The 22,479-nt window shown below is 45.8% G+C and overlaps 1 protein-coding gene across 2 annotated transcripts, besides 1 other annotated feature; it reads right to left on the bottom strand.

The window, feature by feature from the left end:
* PAX1 (paired box 1) lies at positions 8,735-21,552 on the bottom strand. 2 transcript variants are annotated; one of them, NM_001257096.2, is made up of 5 exons: positions 21,218-21,552; positions 20,149-20,778; positions 18,516-18,658; positions 17,772-17,994; positions 8,735-12,745 (listed from the first exon to the last, which is right to left on the bottom strand). In NM_001257096.2, the coding sequence occupies exons 1-5, from the start codon at positions 21,501-21,503 to the stop codon at positions 12,654-12,656; spliced, it is 1,374 nt and encodes a 457-aa protein (NP_001244025.1). In that variant the 5' UTR covers positions 21,504-21,552; the 3' UTR covers positions 8,735-12,653. The 2 variants fall into 2 exon arrangements, with proteins under 2 accessions (NP_001244025.1, NP_006183.2); NM_006192.5 differs by having other exon boundaries at positions 8,735-12,735.
* Positions 13,876-14,375: an enhancer, noted in NCBI's record as "H3K4me1 hESC enhancer chr20:21693479-21693978 (GRCh37/hg19 assembly coordinates)". NCBI's record gives its function as "activates a minimal SCP1, AML or CMV promoter by ChIP-STARR-seq in naive H9 embryonic stem cells {active_cell/tissue: H9 hESC(naive)}" and the evidence as "EXISTENCE:reporter gene assay evidence [ECO:0000049][PMID:30033119]".

The following is a 22,479-nucleotide window of genomic DNA, read 5'->3' as shown; positions in this document are numbered from 1 at the left end:
CCAATTAGATTAGTCAAGTCAGTCAAAAATATATTTCATGAGTTTTTCACTTGATTAGTTCTTAAAAAGATGTGATTGAATTCTTTTTAACTGAATTAGGTGGATCTATTAGGACGGGGGAAAATGTGAGGATGTCATTAGGCTGAAAGTTCTGCAAACAATTTGGGGGCAATATTTGAAGTTAAAATCTGAGATCTATTATCTTTGAAGACCCCAAAGTGTAATTCCATAATTAGATAATAACTGCCAATAGTGATCTCTGGCCAAGATCCTGGGCTAAGAGTGTTTACAGGGAAACCTTCATGGCAATCTCATGGGTCAAGGAGTCACCCATTTTACCGATGGTTCACCCATGGATGGCTCACCGATTTTACAGATGCAGAACTTGAGGCTTGAAGGAGAGCAAGTAACTTCCCCAATTAACACTGACAGTCAGCAGCAGAACAAGGGCTCAGATTCGGGTCTGAATTCAGAGCCTCACTCTTGGCCTCCGTGTTGTTCTGACATCATGATGACTGGTCCCACCTTCTACAAACACAAGTGAAAATCTGGATTTGGAAAGTGCTATGGTTTGAATATTTGCCCCCTCTAAAACTCATGTTGAAACTTAATTCTCAATGTGGCAATATTGAGAGGTCAGACCTTTAAGAGGTGATTCAGTCATGAGGGTTCTGCCTTCATGAATGGATTAAGCCATTCATGGATTAAAAGATTAATGAGTTAATGAATTAATGGGTTATTGATTAATGAGTTATCAGGAGATTAGGACTAAAGGCTCTATAAGAGGAAGAGAGACAAGAGCCAGCACAGACAGCCCTTTGCCACGTGATGGCCTGCACCACCTCGGACTCCACAGAGTCACCACCAGCAGGAAGGCACATAACAGATGCAACCCCTCAATCTTGGACTTCTCAGCCTCCATGAACTGTAAGAAATAAATGTTTTTCTTCATAAATTACCCAGTTTCAAGTATTCTACTGTAAGCAACAGAAAATGGACCAAGACAGGAAGGCAGTAGGGAGGCTCACCTGGTCGTATTGCATGTCATGCATTCTTAAGATGATCCTCGTACTTGTAAAAGAGCCAAAGCTCCTGAATGCCACTGAACTTGTATGCCTGCATTTCAGGGCTGAAGGAGGTGGAGCTACTCTGTTTTCATATAAAGGCAAGGAATTTTTTTCTCCTCTGTATAAACAGCAGGTTGTTTTCCTAGTTCTAAACTGAATGCCAAGCTTCAGTTAAAAAAAATTTTTTTTTTTTGCATAGAACATTAAGGATTGGGCAATTGCATCTCAAAATCCCAAGTGTTCAGGTTCCATGTAAGTGGCCAGCATTTCAGGTGCTTACTTAAACCTTGCCCTCACCCAACAGAGTTTAAAAGCCGACAGTTACAAGCATTTGCATTAGATTAACCTTCTGCCTTTGATCCTACCAAAAACAGTAGAATCAAAATGACCTGTTCATAACACTGTGTTACTTATCTGCTTTTGTGGCTGCCTACAGACCCAAAACAAAGCTAAAAACAAGAATTGAACCATCTGCATGATTTAAGCCAAAATCAGGAAAAAAATATATATATTTTAAATATGTTCCATGTATATATATAACTTCTTCAGTTTTCCAGTTTACTTTCTGCATATAAACATCAAAATAAAATATCAAACATATTTACCTTTTCATACTTCCCACAGTCCCTTCAGGATGCAGACAACTGGACTGAAGTTTTCAAAAGACATTTATTTGTTTTTCTCACTCATATCTCATTTGATAAGAATTCAGAGGATCCCCCAATTTCATACCTAATGTTTGTTTAGCACAGTGATAGCCAGTGCTTTTAATGAGAACCCTGAAATAAGATGCAGAAGTGACTTCCAACCATTAAAAATAACATTGTAAATATGATGTTGCAAAAACTATATTTTATAATATTTTAGAAATTGAAAAACCCTTTTAATATCAATTATTTATCTTTTTAGTGGTGTCTACTCTGGTAGATCGCCTAACTTGGCCATAAGTTTCTCCCATCCAGGTATGCATGCCCCTTTGTAATGTGACTTTGCTGTTCTTCCATAAAGAGGTAGAGTCTACTTTATCATCTCTTGAATCTGGGTTGGCCTGGTGATTTGCTTTGACCATTAGAATGCTGTAGAAGTGATATTATCCAACTTTCAAGGCTGGCTCTTAAGAGACCTTGCGGCTTCCACTGTCACCCTCTTAGACTGCTGCCCTGGGACTGCTAGGTAAGAAAGTTGGTCTAGCTTCCTGGATGAAAAGAAGCCATGCAGAGCAGAGCTGAGAGCCCCAGTCAACAGTCAGCAGCCACGGCCAGCCACGTAAGTGAGGTCACTTTGGGCCTTCCAGCCCAGCCAACCTCCAGCTGAAGGAAGCTGCATGAGTGAGCCCAGGGGAAACCCGCTAAGGAACCACCCAGCCAACACACAGAATCATGATAAATAATAAATTGTTGTTGCTTTAAGCTACCACATGTTGGTATGGTTTGTTACACAGCAATAGATGGCTGATATATATACAGTAATGTTGCAAATGTCATATACAAATAACTCTGCATTGCATTGGAGGCTATTGCAAATGTAGAGACTCTCCAATTGTGACATTATACAGACATCAGAAACAAGTAAGATCTCAAGGGTAGACTCTTCACTTGTGGGCAGGGAGAGAAGAGCCACTGAAGGACTTACAAGTATCTCCTGGTTTTGCAGGGATTAAGCAGGGCTCTGAGGCCAAACTGTGTAAGTTCAAGTTTTGGCCCTGCCATTATTAGGTGGGTAACCTCAGTCAGGTTATGTTACCTCAATTTCTTCATCTGGGATGCAGGGATAGAAACAGTACTTCCCCTGAAGTCTGCAAGGACTGAATTAGAAAGTGTTCATATTTTGAAACATACATGGTACCTAGTAAGAGTGTAATAAATATTAGCCTTTATCATTGGAGGTAGAGAAAGCCTACATACTTCATAAAAGCAAATTTAATATCAGAAGATGACAGCCTCCATTTGTGCAGCTGGCTTTCCTGTACTCTGACTTTTAAAACTGTAGCCTTCGCACTGGATGCCGTCAATGTCACATCTTTCTTTCCAGAAAAGTTTGGGGAAAACAAGGGACTCCACATTTATACCTATACAAGAGAGTTTCATAAAAAATATGGCTCTTTCAAGCCTTTAACTTTTTTCTCCTACTATTCTCTCTTTTGTAAGCCATAATACTTCTTTTGAATACTTTACACATGTGAGGGTATGAGAAATTTATTTTTATCCAAGGGAATCACAAGTTTAAAAGCTCTACATGGATAAAAACAGATGGAAGTGAACTAGACCATTTATTATTTTCATTTATATTAAACTCTCAAAATAAACGTTTTACCGGACCAATACTTACCACCATTACCGATTGTAACATCACAGCTAAAAATGGAAATTGCAAGAAAAAAAAAATCTATGCTAATTTGTTTTTATTTAACTAAACAAAATGAAATTCTTGCAGCCAAAATTCCTTCTGATGCTGAGCCTAGTGTAACCTGAATAATTCTCTAAGGCTATGTTATCAAGACAATTAAAAATAAAATGTTGGCTGCATTCTTGACTGAACTGGTAGATCTTAATTGATTCCAAGCACCACTCAGATACAAATGTTATTTTACGTTCTCGACAGAATCCATTCCATGTGACCACGAGGAGCTGAACATGCTTTCCCTGCACTTTTTTCCTCTCTCAGTCCTCTTATGCCTCAATGTAAATATTATCATGAAGCCTCAACTGTTAGACTTGACTATGGTGTTATCCAAATTTAAGAGAGTGATAGTGTGCTGAGCATAGCAACCTGGAAGTTTATACAGGAAGAAATGAGACTGGCCATAAGCTGTGGAATGTGCTTAAAAATAGAAATTCAAATTGCAAGTGCCTCTCTGGAGCTTCTTTCAGAAAAGCATCCTTTTGGGGTAATATTAATCACTATCTGATGGTTCAAATGACATCATAGGATAGAGGAGTCTGTGCGGTTTTGAATATGTTAGGCACCTTTGATTATTTTCAAAGTTTCAACAAGAACGTAAAACATATTGTAGCCAGCACATTTTCTTTTAATTTTTAAATTCATGCATATTATCAGAGAAATGAAATCCATATGCTTGTAAAAATTCATTTACACTTTGCACTTCAAAATGTGTGACAGAGTCTCTTCATAAATCTTTTAATGTCTTTGTTTACTTTTGCAAGCATCCGGGTTGTGAGAACAAACTCCAAAAATTTGGAATCAGAACCCAGCTGCCATATTGAATTAGCATGCACCCTTCACAGATGACTAATAGGGCTGTAGACATCTGGAACAAACTCGTGGACACTCTAAAACTAAGACGCACTGTTAAGTAAGAAGGCCTGATGAATGCTTGTGAATGTTACTGTAACAGTAAATTCTACTGCTACCTTTTAAGTCATCTTTTGTCACTAATTTGGTGTGTGTGCCTTGGAAGGCTTTGAGAATTTGAGGATTTCCTCTAGTTAAAGTTCAGCAATATATGAAGCTCTTACCTACATTTTGAATTTCAAATGACATCTGAGAAGGACAGGACGTTTCCTCTCTCAATGGCCATAAAAATCTGATAGGATCTTTCAAAGAGGGAAGATTTGAAATGTAACTCTTCCTGAAGATGATGAGTTAAAGGCTTTTGTGCTATCTTGTGTTGTCTCCAGTAGCAGCTAGAATACGTAGCTTTGCCTTAACGAAAGTCATTTACTCATCAAAGAGACACAAACTGAAGCCCAACATGGCTGCCCATAATCATTGCACTAAAGTCAGCAGCAGATGCAACAGGCTTTTCAGCCCCCTGGAGGTGAATGCGTTTTCCAAGCAGGACGAGGTCTCTGCACACCAGTTCTGGATCTGTAGACATGACACAAAGCATGATCACATAAAATTGATCTAAGTGGACTTGCTACACAAACTCTGCTTCAATGCAGTAATGGCAGTAACCTGCTGGCTGTTAATCCTCACAGGTCTAGCCATGAAATCATCAAGTAGTCTTAAGGTCTTGGTGAATGTCCCAGGGCCATCAGATATGATTAGTAGGTGATGGTGGCTCTTCCCTCTGATGCTGTCGAGTGCTCCAGTAAATTCAGAGACTTGCGTTAGCAGTCTTGATGGGCTCTGGATCATCAATGAATCTAATATATAGCCAAGGCCAGGTGCGGTGGCTCATGCCTGTAATCCTAACACTTTGGGAGGCTGAGGTCAAGGTGGGAGGATGGCTTGAGCCCAGGAGTTCAAAACCAGCCTGGGCAACATAGCAAGACTGCATCTCTACAAAAAATTAAAAATTAAAAAATTAGCCAGGTGTGGTGGTGCATGGCTGTAGTTGTAGCTACTCAGGAGGTTGAGGTGGGAGGATCACCTGAGTCTAGAAGTTCAAGGCTGCAGTGAACTATGATCAAACCATTATACTCCAGCCTGGGTGACAGAGTGAGACCCTATCTCAAGAAACAATTTTTTAAAAAATTTTATATATATATATATATATAACATATATATTATATGTGTATTACATATATGTAATACATATATGTTATATATGTAATACATATATGTAATACATATATGTTATATATGTAATACATATATGTAATACATATATAATATACATTACATATATAATATATGTATTACATACATATTATATACATTACATATATAATATACATTACATATATATTATATATGTATTACATATATATTATATACATTACATATATATACATTACATATATATTATATATGTATTACATATATAATATATATGTATATATATGTATTATATACATATATATATACATATATACATATATATATACATACATATATATACATATATATGTATTATATACATATATAATATATATGTATTACATATATATTATATACATTACATATATTATATACATTACATATATAATATACATTACATATATATATTACATATATATTATATATATATATGTAATAGCCAATGTGGTCTACAAGGTTAAAACACGATTTAATTCACCATAAAACGTTGATGTACAAAGAAAAAGAAGAAAACAGCAACAATAATAACACTAATAAAAGCTGACTGTGACCCAAAGCAAGTCCCTACTCTTTATGTATATTATTACATTTAGTTCTCACAGCAGCCCAGGGAGAGAGGTATAATTTCCATTAAACGGATGAGGAAACTAAGGCTGAAAGGTTTTGCCTAAATTTACCCAAAGCAACACAACTGGTAAGTGGTAAAACTGAGACTTTGAACCAGATAGCTCTGCCAACTTTTAGCTACACATCCCCTATCCTTTCCTAAACTGCTTCCTGCATAAAGATGTTCCACAGCTGGTATTCTGAGTTAAATATGTGCAAACGACCACATTACAGATGGTAAGAGAGGCTCCTTTTTTTAAATCTAAGAAATAAATTATCGTTGCCTCACCCATGGTAATCTTTCTGGATTTTATCCTAAAATAAATAGAGAGTGAGAAGATAATCATTTTCCTTGCTGTTTGTTGCCTCTGTAATACGTTGGTCCTTACAGAGAAATATTGTATTGTCACTTTAAATGATTAAAACTTTCAAAAAGATCACTAAATATAGATAAGTTGCTTAAAATGAGAGACAAACTCAAATGAACCAAAAAAATTAAAATTTCACAAATATAAATGAAATTGATTTTATTTCCCAAAAATATCAGTTTAGATTAGGTTGGTTTTTTGTTTTTTGTTTTTTGTTTTTGAGACAGAGTCGTACTCTGTCACCCAGGCTGGAGTGCAGTGGTGCAATCACAGCTCACTGCAGCCTCCCTCTCCTGGGCTCAAGGAATCCTCTTGCCTCAACCTCCCAAGTAGCTGGAACTATGGGCATGCACACCACATCCAGCTAATTTTTTTTTTTTTTTTTTTTTTTTTTTTGATAGCGATGGGGTCTCGCTAGGTCACCCAGGATGGTCTCAAACTCCTGGGCTCAAGCAATCCTTCCTCCTCAACCTCCCAAAGTGCTGGGATTACAGGTGTGAGCCACTGTGCCTGGCTAGTTGCTTTTAAAATTCACATATGTTTATTTTAAACTCAAAGACTTCAATCTATGTATATATTAGAGTCAAAGTTGGAAGTGAAACTTATTTTCAAGGTGCTATTGATGTCTAAGCTAACTTGTTTGCTAAGTCATGTGTTGATGAGCCTAGAAAGTCCATTTTTTACCACATGTGCGAGCATCTGGCTAACAATAATAATAATAACAACAACAACAGCAAGAGCCCTTCTCTTCTAAGTAGACCTTCACAACAGGAAAGTCGCCACTTTAACAAAACGACAAATCTTTTACATTGTATTATTTATCTTCATGCTTGTCTTCATCTCCTGGAACAATATGTGCTCCCCCTGGTGGCCAGAATAATACTTTCAGCTTCCCGGTTCAAGCTAATCATATTACAACTTGTTTGCCAGAGAAGCATTTTATTTTTTATGTTTCACAAGTTTCAGGCTCCAATTCAATTTTTTAAGAAGTCAATTTCTTTCCATTCATTTAAATATCTTGCTTACTTTTCATCCAAGAGATTGTTGTTAAATCAAAACCATCTAGTAATTTTTGTTTTGCTGTTTGTTGTTTGGGGTAAAATAAAATCTTACAAAGCTAAAACCACATCCGCAAATGACTGGAAGAAACTCTGAAAGTTAAAATTGTGAGGTCTATATAAGAAATGACACTGCAGATAATCCATCAAGTCAATATATTTCACCAGAGAAAAAGGAAATAAGACGTTACAGGATGGAAATGTAATTTAATAGCTGAATGAATACTTATCTGCCTATTTCATCCTTAAGAAGAAAAAGAAAAGTGAAGGCAACCCAGGTGGTTACATTATAATGAAGTTGAAATTCTGCCACCCATGAAAACTGCAATTGGGATTCCACTTTTGGATTTGGCCAGCCAGAAACAGATGTGTGTTCCAACAAGAATCACAGGCTGCATCTCCTGGACAAGAGCTCTTTAGAGTGCAGCAGGAGTTTCAACTGGTTTCAACTCCAAAGAAAGGACTAGACTAAACTGAGTATAATTGTTCCAAGTGTTTAGAATTCCCAAGTTGGACTGGGGCTAAATGTGTGGTTCTCATTTTATGGCCTTGAAAAAGAAGACAGTGTGATTCTTCCTTGTTCTGTTAAAAAAAAAAAAAAAAAAAAAACGAAAAAAAAATTTAAGGTTGAGATACAAACGTTTGGCTAGAAATATCTCAACCATAGGACATTTCTTCAGTGAGTAAGGCTATGGTTCAGACAGCAAGGTCAAGGTGAAAACCAAATACCACTTTGTGCATAAATCTTGCCCATTAAAAGAAGGGATTCAAATGTTTCTTATTATATAGCCTGTCTGGATGCACAGTCCTTTCAACTGAGTTCCTCAGGCACATTCTAGCAAGATTCTAAATTCATATCATCCAGCATTACATGGGGCAGGTAGAGTTTCTTTTGAAAAGAAACCCAGGCCAATGTAATCCTAGCTAGGGAAGCTGATGCCAGGAAATCTACAGTGTGCTTTACCGAAACCACAGTTCAATTAAATAAATTCCATCCTTCTTACCAGAAACACACAAATGGCAGAAATACTGTTGTCAGTGAGTGGGGTTCACTCGTCAGGAGGTTAATTCCACGTGGATTTTAGTAAATTGAATTTGGGATAGGTTTAAAAAAATGCTTGTGCCAGTATTGAAAATCTAAACTTTATTTGTAGCCAGTATTTCTTCACACAAGGTTTTCCCGCACCCCTCTGCCTCCATGTCTCTTTCCTGGCCCAGAGAGACTGACTCCCTCCAAAGGAGAGGAAGCCTTCCCCTCACACCTTCAAATGCCCTTCAGTGATCTGTAGAACAACTCGGGGCATATTCAAGAAGGGCAAAACTTCATGCCTCTTGCCCCTCAATCCTCCTTTCCTTTGGTTTGTTTTCCTTACTTCTTGCCAAAAAACAGCTACCTTTGGCAGGGAAGTTATTACAATCCATTGCAAGTACTTCCTCCAATAATGAACACAACAAAATCCTGTCTTTATTCATTTAAAGCACGAAGCTGGCCCTCTTTACAAATACCCTGTTTTTAATAAATCCTCGGTAATAGACATCCATTCACGAGAATAAAGTGGGTACATTGGAGCTGAAGCTGGTGGTACGCAAAGAGCAGATCTTCAGCTCATGTCTGTGTGTGCACAGCACAACTCATTAGTGTGCACTTTCAAATAACACATAGACAGAAACATATTTTCCCGCATGCATGTTTTTCCTGGAAAGATTCACAAAAGACTATAACAGCATTCACCTTTAAGAACAAAAATGAGAGCAGGAAGAACTTCCACTTTTCATTTTAATGTTTCTGTACTGCTTGAGTTTTTTAGTGATACGCATATATTATTTCTATTCTTTCAAAAAATCAGAGGGCTATCTGATTATGTCTTTATTTTCTTTGGGTTACATCTCTATATTTTTCTAAAAAAAACTTATTCTTAAATTAAAAAAATGAAAGGCAAAGACAAACTGCGTTTAGGGAGTGATTGTTTCTCAAATTATTCTACCTGACGTGGTGCTGCATAATTTTATTATGAGCTCTCAGTTCCTCCACAGATCCATACGAACAAAGAGCAAAAGTGCAATATTCCAATGGGATCTTTTGGAAAATATTTAAATTCTGGGTCTCCCACCAACCTTACAAGTGATTCCTCTAACTTTTGTTAACAGATAAGCAAAATTGTCTCCAGAGAGGTGAGGCCACACCAGTGGCAGTCTTCCTACAGGCCAGGTCACCGTGCGCGTTACTGCATTGAAGGCTACATTTCACAGACAGGTTCCAAGAGGTCCCAGTCCCCTGACACATACAGTGGAGCAGAGATTTAAGCCAAGTTCACTAAGATGTTCCGTGACCCCCAGCCGCGAGAGAGGGGGTATGTCCCTCCACACCCCACATGAAATGTCAGAGCCTGCTGGCTCTGGGACGAAGGCTGCCTATCCTCAGTGAATGCTCGCCCCAGAGCCAGGGAACTCAAAGACCCGCCTCCAGCCACAGGATACAGGGAACAAGAGGCAGATTTGAAAAATGCCTCCCTTTGCAGGTGGCACTTAAAACACAGGTGCTTTGCATCCACCCTGGGGCGCATTTCCCAGCTCTTCTCCCCCATAACCCTGATCAGCTCAAACACAGAAGTGGGCCATAGCAGGGAAATGGGGATGGTGACAACTCAAAGGTAGAAGTTGTCATATAGATTCTTCTCATTCCTTCAGAAAGGGATGTGATGTCTTCCTCCTGGCCTGAGCAAGCCAGTCCTTCTCCAGGCAGCACAAATGGGTGCATGAAAATTCTGTCCAGGATGTCACCACTGAGCATGCAATGCTCATCTAAGCACAAGGAGACAGGCTGAGAGGATGGGGGACTTGGGAACATGCTTCTCTGTCATACTTTTTTCCTATTATCAGTATGACAAGCTCTTCTACAGGATATGCTGCCATGGAAGGCTGAGGACTTCAGTCTCAAAGTCCAAGTCTCAATCCTGCCTCTCTGATGAGATAGTGTCACCCAGTTTCCAAGCACAAGCCCTCTAATTCATACCTTGCTATGTGGTCTAAAGAAAATAAATCAAATCCCTAGCCATCACTAACACTGTCTACAAAGTGAAACTTTAAAAAAAAAAAAAAAAAAAGACAAGAGACTTTGAATCTGAGAAGAAGAGTCTCTCTAGGAAAAAAGTAAGTACTTTTTTATAATTGATACCTTCAACAGATACTATCAAAAAGAGTTGAAACAAAAACTGTTTACCACTAGTCCCCTAGGTGGGACCAGTGCACACACCAAGCAGGCAGCTCCACTCACAAACAGCAACTTCAATTCAAAAATCTCTTCCATCAGTTTTAGAAGGTCAAACAGAGGCAGGAAAAAAAAACAATTAGCCGGAAGCCCCTTTGTAGTGCAAACCCCCTAGATTACTTGGTAGCCTGGGATTGTCTTCTTTAGCTTTTAGAATACTAGAAATGTTCTGAAGAAATCCTCCATTCTGGCTCATTGCCTTTTGCCCATTTTACTCTTTTCAGAATTAACTGCATTTCAAGGTGGTTTCTGCATAATTTCCCTTGATAGTGTTCATCCTAGGAACTCAGGGGAGAGGGTAGCTACGGAGTAAGAACTCAACACTCTGCGCTCAGAAACAGACTTGCTCACCTCACCACACACCTTTCAGACGCTTTCCTTTATTCAGAGGCAGCCACCTTTAACAGGCGATGTCAGGCTCTCGCCAGGGATATTGCTCTGACTACAGAATTGCATTATGTCCAGGGTACCACCACCAGCTCGCCTAACTTGGAAGCAGCTCACAGCTCTTGCGGCTGGCTCTAGAAGATACTTTCTGGGTTGTTTTTGTTGTTGTTGTTGTTTGTTTTGTTTTGTTTTTTTTAACCCTCATCCCTTGCAAACCAGAAGTCCAAATGAACCTTTGTACCTGGAAGCAGTCTGTGGTTTAAATTAACAAATGTGCTGACCCCTGAACACCAAAAAGTGCTGATGTGTTTACCACTGGTCGGATTCCCTAGCAAGTGTTGCGAGTGGAGGGGTGGGAGGAGACACCTGCAGGACAACCCAGTTTTCTAAGCACTGAAAACACCAACAACCCCTGTGCTCCCTACTCCTACCCCAGTCTTCTTTGGGGTGACATCATCTCAGAAGGGAAGAGAAGCCCGGCGGCCACTGGGCTCTGAGAAAGAAAACAGATTTCCAGACAATATGCTGCGGGGATCGACGGGAGAGGACAGTTCATGGAGGGTTTTTTAGGGTTTGTTATTACAAAAAAAATACAAAATAAAGGCTGTGGCTTTTCTGTCCACTTCCTAGGTTTGAGCCCCCCTCCATTAGGGCTGGTGGGCTCAGAGGAGTGAAGGCTACAAAGTCCCAGGTGCCAGAGAAGGGACTGTCACCGAGATGGCTCTAGGGCTCTCAGGGACTGAGGGAGGGTTGGGGAAGCAGTAAAACAAAGGGAACTAGGGCCCTTGACAGTAGAACCAGAGACAGAGAGAGAAGGAACGACAGGGATGGACCAGGAAAAAGGGCTGATAGCATATAGAGGACTAGAAAGAGGAGACGGGGGAAGAAGCGGGACTGGAGCAGAGGTCGGAGCAAGGAAAAGAGAGTGGAAGGGCAGAGGGAGCCCTGGAAGGTCGGGGAAAGCCGGGGTGGAAGGTAGGGAGGAAGGGAAAGAGAAAGGGAAGGGAGGGAGAGTGAGAAAGAAAGAGGGGGGAAGGAAACAGGGAGAGAGGCGAGACGGAGACGGACAAGGGAGTGACAAAAAAGAAATTTGAAGCTGGCAGAGCGAAGGAGGCCACGTCAGAGCAAGGATTGTGAGGAGGGTACGGCAGTCTAAAACCCAAGTTCAGAGAAGCCTAAAAACCCAGACCAATAAAGGAAGTGTGGTGGGTCCGGCCAGAGGCAGGGCTGGGCCTGGGGGCTGGCTGGGCGTGCACCCCGCGGGCCGGCACTGGCTTCCTCCTCCGCGAGTCCTCCGATCCTGCCCGTGCCGATTGCCGGGGCCGCCGCGCAGACCTGTGCGCCCGGGTCCGCCTGCCGTTCCCTCCGGGCTCGGGTCCGGGGAGAGCTGCCCCTAGGAGGTCGAGGCCGGGATGGGCAGTCCGTGTAAGCTACTGAGGGCGTCCGGGGCCTTGCTGCCGGAGCTGGGAGGCTTCCTGTCAGCCACTGCGGGAGGAAGCACAGAGGCGTCGGATCACTACCTAGCGCCGCGCAGTGCGAGAGGCACTGGGACTCAGGACGCCTGCAGAGCGAGGTCGTGAGCGCTCAACCCTTGAAGGCTCTGGAAGAGTGAAGCAGAGACTCGCGCTCTCCAGAGACCCCAAGCTTCCGTGGGCGACCAGCCCTTCCTCTCCCGCTAGGAGAGCCACTTGCAAGGAGAGCCTTGGCAAGCGGGACTCCTCGCAAGGCCATTTGCAAACACTGACCGCTGGCCAGGTGCAATTCCCGTTGCCGTCCAACCCCCTCACCACCTGCTCAGTAAAGGAAGTGAAGGGCGCAGAGGGCTGGGAAGGTTTCAGGTCTGATGGCGACTTCCGCAGAAGGGAACAGGACTCTAACGTTGCGCGGACCCTCACCCTTTCCAAACCCCAGGCGCCCGCACAAGTGCGAAGAGCAGCCAATGCGTCGAGTCCGCTGACACCCGCGGCTCGGAGCTCGCTGTGGGCAGGGGGAAATCTTGCGGGAAATGAGCCACCAGAGATTTCCCTGGAGCGGCCTGGATTCCTCCGACGTAGGAGGCAGTTGCGCTTTAAGTGAGCGGCAGACTACGTTGTGCCCACGAGGTCCGGGGATCCAGATGCGCTCACCACTGTGGGCACAGCACGTCCTGGGACCTGTGGGCCTCCGGATTAAGTGACAGTGGGATTGCCAGATCGGGCAGTATTCTGCGCCTTACTCTATTATTTAGGGGCTTGGGAAGGGGCCCAAGTTTTGCCACCGGAAGCCAGAAAGTGACGCCACGATTGCGCAAGCCTGTTTTTCCTTTCCCAACCTTGAGCCACTCTGCTTCTCCTACACTAGGATCCACAGTTTGTTTATACCTACAGGGGCCTATTTTCAATTTTCTTTTTTCCCCAAGTCCTCCTTTAAAGGGGGAGCTTGGAGCGCCTCGATTTGAAGTAAGGGGAACTCTGGATTTTTTTTTCTCCTGCAGCTTCCCTCGCCTCAGCCTCAGGCGCAACTTGCTGTGGCTGCGCAGAGCTGGGCCAACCACCTCTGTGCAAGACACACACACACACACACACACACACACAAAAAAAAAAGAAAACACACGGTTTCGTTGAGGTTTTAAAGAGGTCTAAAGACCTTCCCAGGACAGAGCGGCCCCTCTGCTTTTCCCTGGCTCTCAGCTCTTTTTCCTAAACAAAGTTGTGGCCGCCCAGCCAACAAGTATTCAGACCTTTTCTTTCTACCGTGGACACACACTTCAAAGTGAGGACCTGTTTAGAAAACATCTGAGGAGGTGGAGGTTTCTCAGCCAAGGGACGGTTACCTTAGAGACAAGCAAGAAACTGAACTCATGAAAAATAAACACCCAGGAAGACTGCATCCCACCCTACAGGGGCGAATCCTGCTGTGTTTTTAGCCCTGTCCAAGCCATCCTTCCTCATAGGGCCCCTCCTGCCCTCCATTCCCTCCATAGGACAACAAGGGTGGGTACTTCTGGGCCCTCGGAGGCCGGGGCCTAGGTCAGGCTCATTTAATTCAGGGGCTAAGAATGGGGAGAGGCATTTTTTAAATATTCAACTGCAATTGCAGGGCACTCTGAGACCACCGCTGAGGGGAGGCACGGGTCTGGGAAGGGATCCCCGGGGCTGGGTCAAACGGAGGCCGGGGTTGCCAGCGTCCGGGTGCGACAATGCCAGCGACCTAGTGCTCTTTGACAAAGTTTACTTTTAGGATCTTCCAAGAACCAATCCCGAGGCAGAGGTAACTGGAGCGAAGCTGCAAGTTATCTTTAACAAATAAAAGCAATACATTTTCTTTGTGCGTATGCAGTATCTTATAGATTTGATTTCCAAATCTTTAGTCATTCCAGAGCCCCACGAGGAGGGACTTAAAACCCTGAGGTTTCGAGGGTCTCTGAAAACATCCTGTAAATACCAGCTGTCTTGAGGGAGCATCTGGTGGTGTCTGTCACCTAAGGGTGGGGAAGGGGAGATGGTCGTGCCCTGGCTATGAAAAGACATTTGGATGTGGGTGGAGATTCCTAGAATGTCAGCCTCTCCAAGTGAAGATTAAGCGAAACTTTTTCTATTCTTCTCAATTCCCAAAAATTAAAGTTTCCTTTCAGGGGATGGGAAATGTAAATCATGCTTTTTACCTACATAATAGGAAACCCAGACTCACTACCTTTTTAAAAAATAAGAAAAAAATGAATTATAGTATTAAATAACACAATTAATCAATTAATATCTAATTAAATGCTAAATTTTCGATTTGACATTTGATTAAGTTTCACTTAGGGTAACTGTTAAGCTGTTCATTTGCACTAATTTGGAGGACATATTGATATATATTGCACTGTGCGTGTGTGGTGTGTATGTGTTAGGTGATCAAAGGTATTTGCTTTTACTGAGCATTTATTGTATTAAATTGCTTTTCATTACACAGAAGAATTTTTTCTTACTGAAAAGGAGTTCACTAAATACTATTCTCACTATTCTTATGAATTGAACAATTGCTGATAGTAAATTGTCCTCTGGGACAGGTTTCTTTGAAGATATTAATTTCTTAAGAACTGATCAGAAAATAAAAGGCAGTGATTCTTATTATTTTTCTGTCTTTCCAAAGACCAGTTGTGTTGAGGGAATAGATCTTTGAAGTCAGCTGTTCTACCAGTAAGGAGTAAAAATCCATAACCCAAGCATGTATGTAATTCTCAGGCTATGAATATAGATAGATAATGAATGATTATTTCTACATTCCTGTTCGAACACAAACAGTTGCATGCCAGCTTGAGAAATCATTGCTAATGGTGTCCCCAAGTTATCTGATTATCTTTTATTAGAACCTTTAAAGAAGTTGGAGGACCACAAAATTAAATTATTAATTTAATAACTAGAGTAACAAATTATTGCTGTAGCTTTTAAAAACAGGTGGGATATTACATAATAGGAAACTGATATAATGGTAAAAGGGACTTATGCCAGCACCATTCAATGACCCTGTATTTCTGAAAAGGAAAGTGTCTTCTAAAGAAAATCAATCACCAGTGAGGCTTAATGTTAAAATCAGCTTCCCCGCAACTTCCACCACAAATTAAGACAGGTAGTTTAGAATTAGGAACTGTGTGTGTTACCTTTGGCTTATTATCTGCACTTTATAATTTGTGTCTAATGTAGAGCTTAAAATGCCTCCAGGGCAAAGTGGCTCTATTGAAAACAAATGCATTCCTCTGAAGACTGTGGGTCTTTTTTCTAAGTCTTCCTTCTCCTTAAGATGAACCCAGTGAAATATTTCAAATCTGTGGTTATACATTTTTAATTCAAAAGAACCTGCTTATTTAAGTGATTTGTGTAATGTGGTAAATTTTATTTTGATTTCGATTTCGACAGATAACCTCAGTTGTTGAGAAAACAGGTTGATTGGAGGCTGAGGATGAGTGAAGCGCTCATCTGCGACCCCTTAACTATCCTTAAACATAAAGCTTAAAGGAGTTCTTACTCTCAACTTTTAACATTTCCTTCACTTGGATTTTTCTATAAATGAGTAAATGATAGTATCCTATTTAAATTAAACTTAAAGTTTAAAAGAGCTCTAAATCCCAATTTTTATAAATTTTCCTTATTTGGATTTGTCTGTAACTAGGCAAGTGAACATTATCCTAATATCCCAGGATGTCTGTGCTCTAGGAAAGGTAGAAATAGAAAAAGTATTTTTCTCCCTTCATTTCACTGTTGTGGATGGCATCTTTATTTCCTTCCTGCCCCCCACCCCACCCCCACTCCCCAGGGCATGCCCTCCTATCTTATCAAGACTACTTGGAAATAGCACTTTTTGCCTGGGCAGCACCAAGGAGGATGGCCCTCCTGTCCCCTGCCTGCCCACTGCCACCTGCCACTACATCCACCTCGCTTCCAGCCCTGGACAGGTGGAGGCAAAGCAGCTAGTAAAAATCCTTTTATAATCTGGGAACTCCACGCTGTCCCCCAGGTTTGTGCCTTGTCTCTTTCTCTGCTGGGGCTGGGACGACCTGGGGTGACCCTTTCCTTTCCCAGGTTGGTTGAAGTTGCAAATTTCTGGTGCTCAGAACCTAAGCACTGGCAAGTTTGAACTTAGCAAATCAAGCCATTCCTTTTAACAACAAAGAAAATGAGGACTCAAGGGCTGGTGAGCTTTTCCCAAGTTAAAGGAAAAACTGGAACCCTCCTGGTTGTGTGAGAAGATCCCCCTCACACTGCTGACTGTCAGTGAAATACCTAAAATCTGTTCCTCGACTTTTCAGGAAGTGGACTTATGGAAAAGGAAGAGAAGGAGGAAGCGGAAAAGGAGGCAAGACTCCCAGGCACATTTTCCACAGAAAGAGAGAACCCCCCCACCCGCCCACCACCACCACCACCCACAACCACAGAAAGCTCCTGAGCCTGGAGTAAAGGACACTGATTCACATGGCCTCTACTTTCCCACAGTGTGTATTTAAGAAAAAGAATCCAAACGCCTTTTTTTCTCTCTAAGGAACCTGGAAAAAACAGATGGGCAGTGGGGCAGAGACGGGAAGGGTCTGGGGATGGAGGTTAGGTGCCACTAGCAAGTCCAACCCCACCTAAAGGGCTTAGGTGCCAGAACAGGTCTACAGAAAGGTGAGCCTGGAGGGTGCCTGCTAGACGTGTCTCTGGATGGAGAAACAGAAACCCAGAAAGAAGCAGGAACTTGGTCGAAGGTGCCAGAACCGGATCCAAACCCACGCGTCCTGTGTGCCAGAAGGACCTCCTTTCACCTCTCCCATCATAAGTGGAGGGGACAGTCTTGGGGCCAGTCTCTCTCAACCTCGGGTACCTTTATAGGGACACCTGTCAGAACTAATCTGCTCCAAGAAGCTACATGCTCAAAGGTTAACCCAGAAGAAGGGTTCATGCCCAGGACCCACCTCTTCCCCACCCGCTCTCCCTTTTCCCAGGCTCACACCCGCTCCCCAGTACCCTTCCTAACCCTTCCAGCATCCACCCGCCCCACTCCCTGCGCTCCTCACCTTCTCGGCTGGGATGCTTGAAGGTCATTGCTGCCGCGAGTTCCCCGCCATGCACAGCTACGCCGGCCCCGGGGGGCGCCAGAGGAGGACCTTGCGCAGGCGGCCACGGCGGGCCCGGGGCGAGGTAGCCGCCGCCCGGGGCGCTGTACACGCCGTGCTGGTTGGAGGCCGGGTAGGCGCAGGCGGGGAGAAAGCCGCCCACGGCAGAGAGGGTGGAGGCCGACTGTGGGGATAGAGAGGGACCGTCAGCAGCAGAAAATCCTGCCTTCTCTAGCCCACGCCATCACTGAGACGGGGGTTTTCGTCCATTATCGCTCCCCCACGTCCTGTGCCCATCCATTATCCCCATGCGAGGCCTGGCCTCTAAATTTCCTAGTCAGGACTCTTTGGCAAAGTGATTTCTAAGAATTCACTCAAACTGTTACAAATAACGATGTGAAGGGGTCATGGTATTCATATCGGGATTTAGAGAAAGAAGGCCCTTGACTGTGGATTCGTCATCTGGAGTTCCAGCTTTTTTTAGCTAAGCTATCTTGGCAAAGGCAAGTCAACCCCTCTAAAGTCAGACTCTCCCAAACTAGTACGCTTGAGGAAAGGACAGAAAGGACGCTTGCTAGCCGGCTGCCAGATACAACCATCTCTCTGCCTGGAAATTTTTTCTTTTCTTTCTCTCTCTTTTTCCCCACTTGCCCAAACCTTCTGCTTCCCTACTTAAGGTCACGGCCTCACGTGCCTCCTGGTTACCTGAGTGTATTTAATGTCTGCCTCTAAGGCAGGTTTCTCTAGCCCATTCACTGCGGGGGTGGCGGGGAAGGCCGTGCGGTTCACGCCGGCCCAGTCTTCCATCTTGGGAGAGTAAGCGGTGCCTTCGCTCCCAGCCAGGGCCCCTGCAGGAGAGAGAGGACGGATTAAAAGGTGCCTCCGAATCTGCCCTGGGCACACGTGTGGCCAACCACCCAATTTGTATCTGAAGACACGGCCAGGGGTCCCACAAAATTTGTAGGTGGCCTGACACTCCACCAGGAGGCGGCAGGGACTGGAATGTTCACCACTCCGGGTGGGGCGGAGGAAAGGCAGCCAGGCCTGCTGCCCGGTCCTCCTAGCCTTCAACCGGTTTCCCACGAACGGGAGGCTGCTGCTGAGTCAAAGCCTGGGCAGACTCGGCCAAAGCGGCCGCTCCATTGTCCAGACACGGCTCCCAGAAACTTCCGAGTTCAAAGCTACAGCAACCTCATGAAAATTGTATTGATTTCTCAACATCTGCACAAGCCTCTGGAGGGCAGGGAGACGATTCTACGAGAACTGCCTCTGGAAACGCCCAGGGTTTCCCAAAAGAAGCGTCAACATTGTTGTCCCCACGGGTCAGATAGAAGCACACAGCTGCTCCCCGGGCCCTTGTGTGTGCCAGGAACCAAGGGAAACCTCCAGATCTGCGTGCAGGCTTGGTGGGGTCACCTCCAGACCCCTGCCATTCCATGGGAAGCTTTAGCCTTAGGCTGGGTTAGAGCCACCAGGAGACACAAAGCCAGAGCAGGGCCACAGAGGCGCTGCTGCTGCTGGAGCTGAGCACTCACAGTTTCTTTCCAGCCACCACTCTTTCCTCCTAGGCTATGGTGAATTTTGCTTCTTGCCCTCCTCCTGAGTCTGATCACCTAAGAGTGTGCCATCCCCTGGCCAGCTGCTGGCAGCTGGGGAGAGCGCAAAGAAATCCAGACCCGATTCTGGCTGGTTTCTTTCCCAGCCAGGCATCAAAGTTGTTCCAAACCTCCCGCCTTCCCCATCTTCCTCGTCACCCACTTGACCTATAGTGTGTTAAGCTTTAGTTGCAGATAAATGACAAATCCTTGTGAAGGTGGCTGCAGCCCCACCAGCCATCACCGCAAACTCCAGGACCTGCAAGGCCACAGGACCTTAGAGATGTAGGCCACTCAATCGACCACAAGATCCCTTTTCCTTTAACTCAGAAGAGCCACTGGGCCTGGGAGTGGGGGACAGAACCCTTGGGAAATCGTGAAGGATTCTGAGAGCTAAAGAAAGGGTCTCAAAATTGAGCGGGTTTTTTTCCCCCTTAGATTTGGCAACAGGGGCTTGCATACTTTTTGCAAGAATGAAAAAGCACAATTTCAGGCCTCCAAATTTGTGGTCGGCGATTGCTCTTCTATTTGGGAAATATTTTCCATATTTGTCATAAAAAGTTCAAGATGTCCGAGGTCTCTTACAAAAGGCCCAGGACCCCCAGCCTCCCTGGCCAGTGTGGAGCCCTCCCCTGAGCCAGAACCGGTCCCGGGAGGAGAGCGAGTGTGAGTCCTCTCCTGCAAGCCTGCCCGCCCCAGGTTCTGCCCCTTAATAGAAGGCTACGGAGGCCGCCACAACTGACCTGTTTGCTCCATAAACGTCCGGATGCCCAGGATGTTGCTGACCGAGTGTGCCGAGGGCCATGAGCGCGGGATGCTGACGTGGCCCGCCGTGCCCGGGACCCCGGGGTGGCTGCCCATCTTGGCGCCCGTGGGCGACACGGGACTGGGGTAGGGGTACTGGTAGATGTGGTTGTAGGGCAGCGTAGGCTGCGACGGCGGCTGCTTACTTGCCTCGTACGGTCCGGGCTGCGCCAGGCTGCCGATCTTGTTGCGCAGGATGCGGCTGATGGAGCTCACCGAAGGCACATTGTACTTGTCACAGACGCCGTCGGCCAGCAGCCGGTCGCGGATCTCCCAGGCAAAGATGCCAGGGTCTCCTTGCTTGTAGTCCCGGATGTGCTTGACCACGTTGGGAGTGGTGACGCGGGGCTTGCTCCCCCCGATGGCCCCGGGCAGAATGGAGCCGGTCTCGTTGTAGCGCGCCAGGATCTTGCTCACGCAGCCGTGGGATACGCGGAGCTGCCGACTGATGTCACAGGGTCGGATGCCCAGCTGCGCCAGCTCCACAATGCGCAAGCGGATGGCGTTGGGCAGGGGGCGGCCGTTGACGAACACACCGCCCAGCTGGTTCACCTCGCCATACGTCTGCTCTGCGGATGCGCCAGACAAGAGTGAGCCGGAGGGGGAGAAAACACCCGGCGGGTTAGCCAAGGGTCCCCACGCGGAGCGAGGGACTGCACCCAGGCGCACTTCCAAAGGTGACCTGTGGGTCCCCAGACAGCTCGGAGTCCAAGGGCAAACCGCCTGGGTCTGGCTTGGAGTGGGCAAGGGCGCAGAGGAGCCGCGGAGTGGAGCGCGGCGCATTGTAGCCCTCCGTGCCCTTTCGCGACTTTTAGCGCGTCTACTTGGAACACTCCCTTCCCAGACTTGCTCAACTGCCCCCTGAAGGCTGGGGATCAGAGGAGAATGCAGCTTCTCCAGGACCCAGGACTGGGTCGCCCAGGGAAAGCGGACGAGAGGGAAGGGAGGCAGGCGGACCCGACCCACCTCATCAGCCCTCCCGAGCCCTGCCTGTCGCCCGCCCCTTACCCATAGCGAGCGGGCCGGCCAGCTGCCTGGCGCCGGGGTGGCCGGGGTGGCCGGGGCTGGGCCCGGCGCAGTCCGGGAGAGCTTGGGCGCCGCCGCCGCCGCGTGAGAGGCATAGAGGGAGGGCGCCCGAGAGCCGAGAGCCGCGGCGGCCCAGCCGCGGGCTGGAGACGCGCTGTGCGCGGCAGCGGAGCGCGCTGCCGCCCGCTCCAGGGCCTGCCGCCGCCGCTGCTGCCCCCTCCCAGGACACTCTCCACGCCCGCGACCCCAGGCCCAGGGTGAACTTCATCCGATTGGGAGAAATTCGTCTGACCGGGAGGCTGCAGCGTGCGGGAATCAATTTGACGTGTCCTCCACGTCAATCTCGGCAGTCACGCCGGAGACGCGCGAGTTGGCAGCTCATTGGTTCCCGTCACTGCGCCCCAGCGCCCCCCTCCCCGCCCTGAAACTCTACCCCCTCCTTCTATCCTCCCCCCTCGGCCCTCTTCCACCACCCCCCCGGAACCCACCCCTCTACACACACACACACACACACACACACACACACACACACACACACGTCCCAACCCCAGCTGGGCCTGGGACCTTCCACTGCTCTGAGCCCCTTTCAGCCCCCTTCCTCCTCTAGCTTTGGGAATGAGGGGGAAGTCATCTCAAATTGATTAGTGTGTTAGTACTAGTACTCGTTTTCGTTTTGGTTTTAGTTTTATTTCCGCCACCATTAATAATAAGATAGAGAATAAAAGTTTATCGTGGAAAGGTGTTTCGGGTGTGGCTCTCTCTACCTCCCCACTCCCGGGGCAGCGGCCGGGGAAGGGTGGGATCAGTACCCCAGCTGGCTGGGAGTGTCAAGGTGAGCGTCCAGCGCGGTGCAGGGCTCCTGTCAGGAAGACACAAGGCGGAACTTGTGTCCCATTCCTGGCCAGGTCCTCAATCCTTCTCTCAGGAAATCTTCACGTTTAATAGCCAACCACTCTTGGAATAGTGGGGGTGATTTCGGTGATGCGAGAGGGGCACGGTCCAAATCCTGTCTCCTACAGCCAGGCCCAGCCACCAGAACTCATCCCTCTCCAAGCAGTGACAGAAGGGGCAGGAGGCAAAAGGATCCCGATCTGCTGCTAAGGGGCGCATAGATCCGGCGCCCTCCTGTCCCCAAGCGCGACCGGCGGGAGGCCAAATGCATAGCTCCAGCTCTAGGTCTGAAGGACAAGTTCCTTTCTCCCTGGCGGTGGAATCTCGCACCACTCTATCCCAGGTGGCCTGGC

This window comes from Homo sapiens, chromosome 20 (genome assembly GCF_000001405.40).
Source record: "Homo sapiens chromosome 20, GRCh38.p14 Primary Assembly".
In the NCBI taxonomy this organism is placed as follows: Eukaryota; Metazoa; Chordata; class Mammalia; order Primates; family Hominidae; genus Homo; species Homo sapiens.
Note: the sequence above shows the minus strand (reverse complement) of the source record. Positions and strands in the feature narration are given on the sequence as shown.

Coding starts and splice junctions, on each gene's coding strand:
- PAX1 (NM_006192.5), bottom strand. CDS start 21,503: ATGAAGTTCACCCTGGGCCTGGGGTCGCGGGCGTGGAGAGTGTCCTGG. Junction 17,995..18,515: donor CAGACATTAAATACACTCAG/GTAACCAGGAGG, acceptor CTATCCCCACAG/TCGGCCTCCACCCTCTCTGC. Junction 12,736..17,771: donor CAAGCATCCCAGCCGAGAAG/GTGAGGAGCGCA, acceptor AGTGGCTGACAG/GAAGCCTCCCAGCTCCGGCA.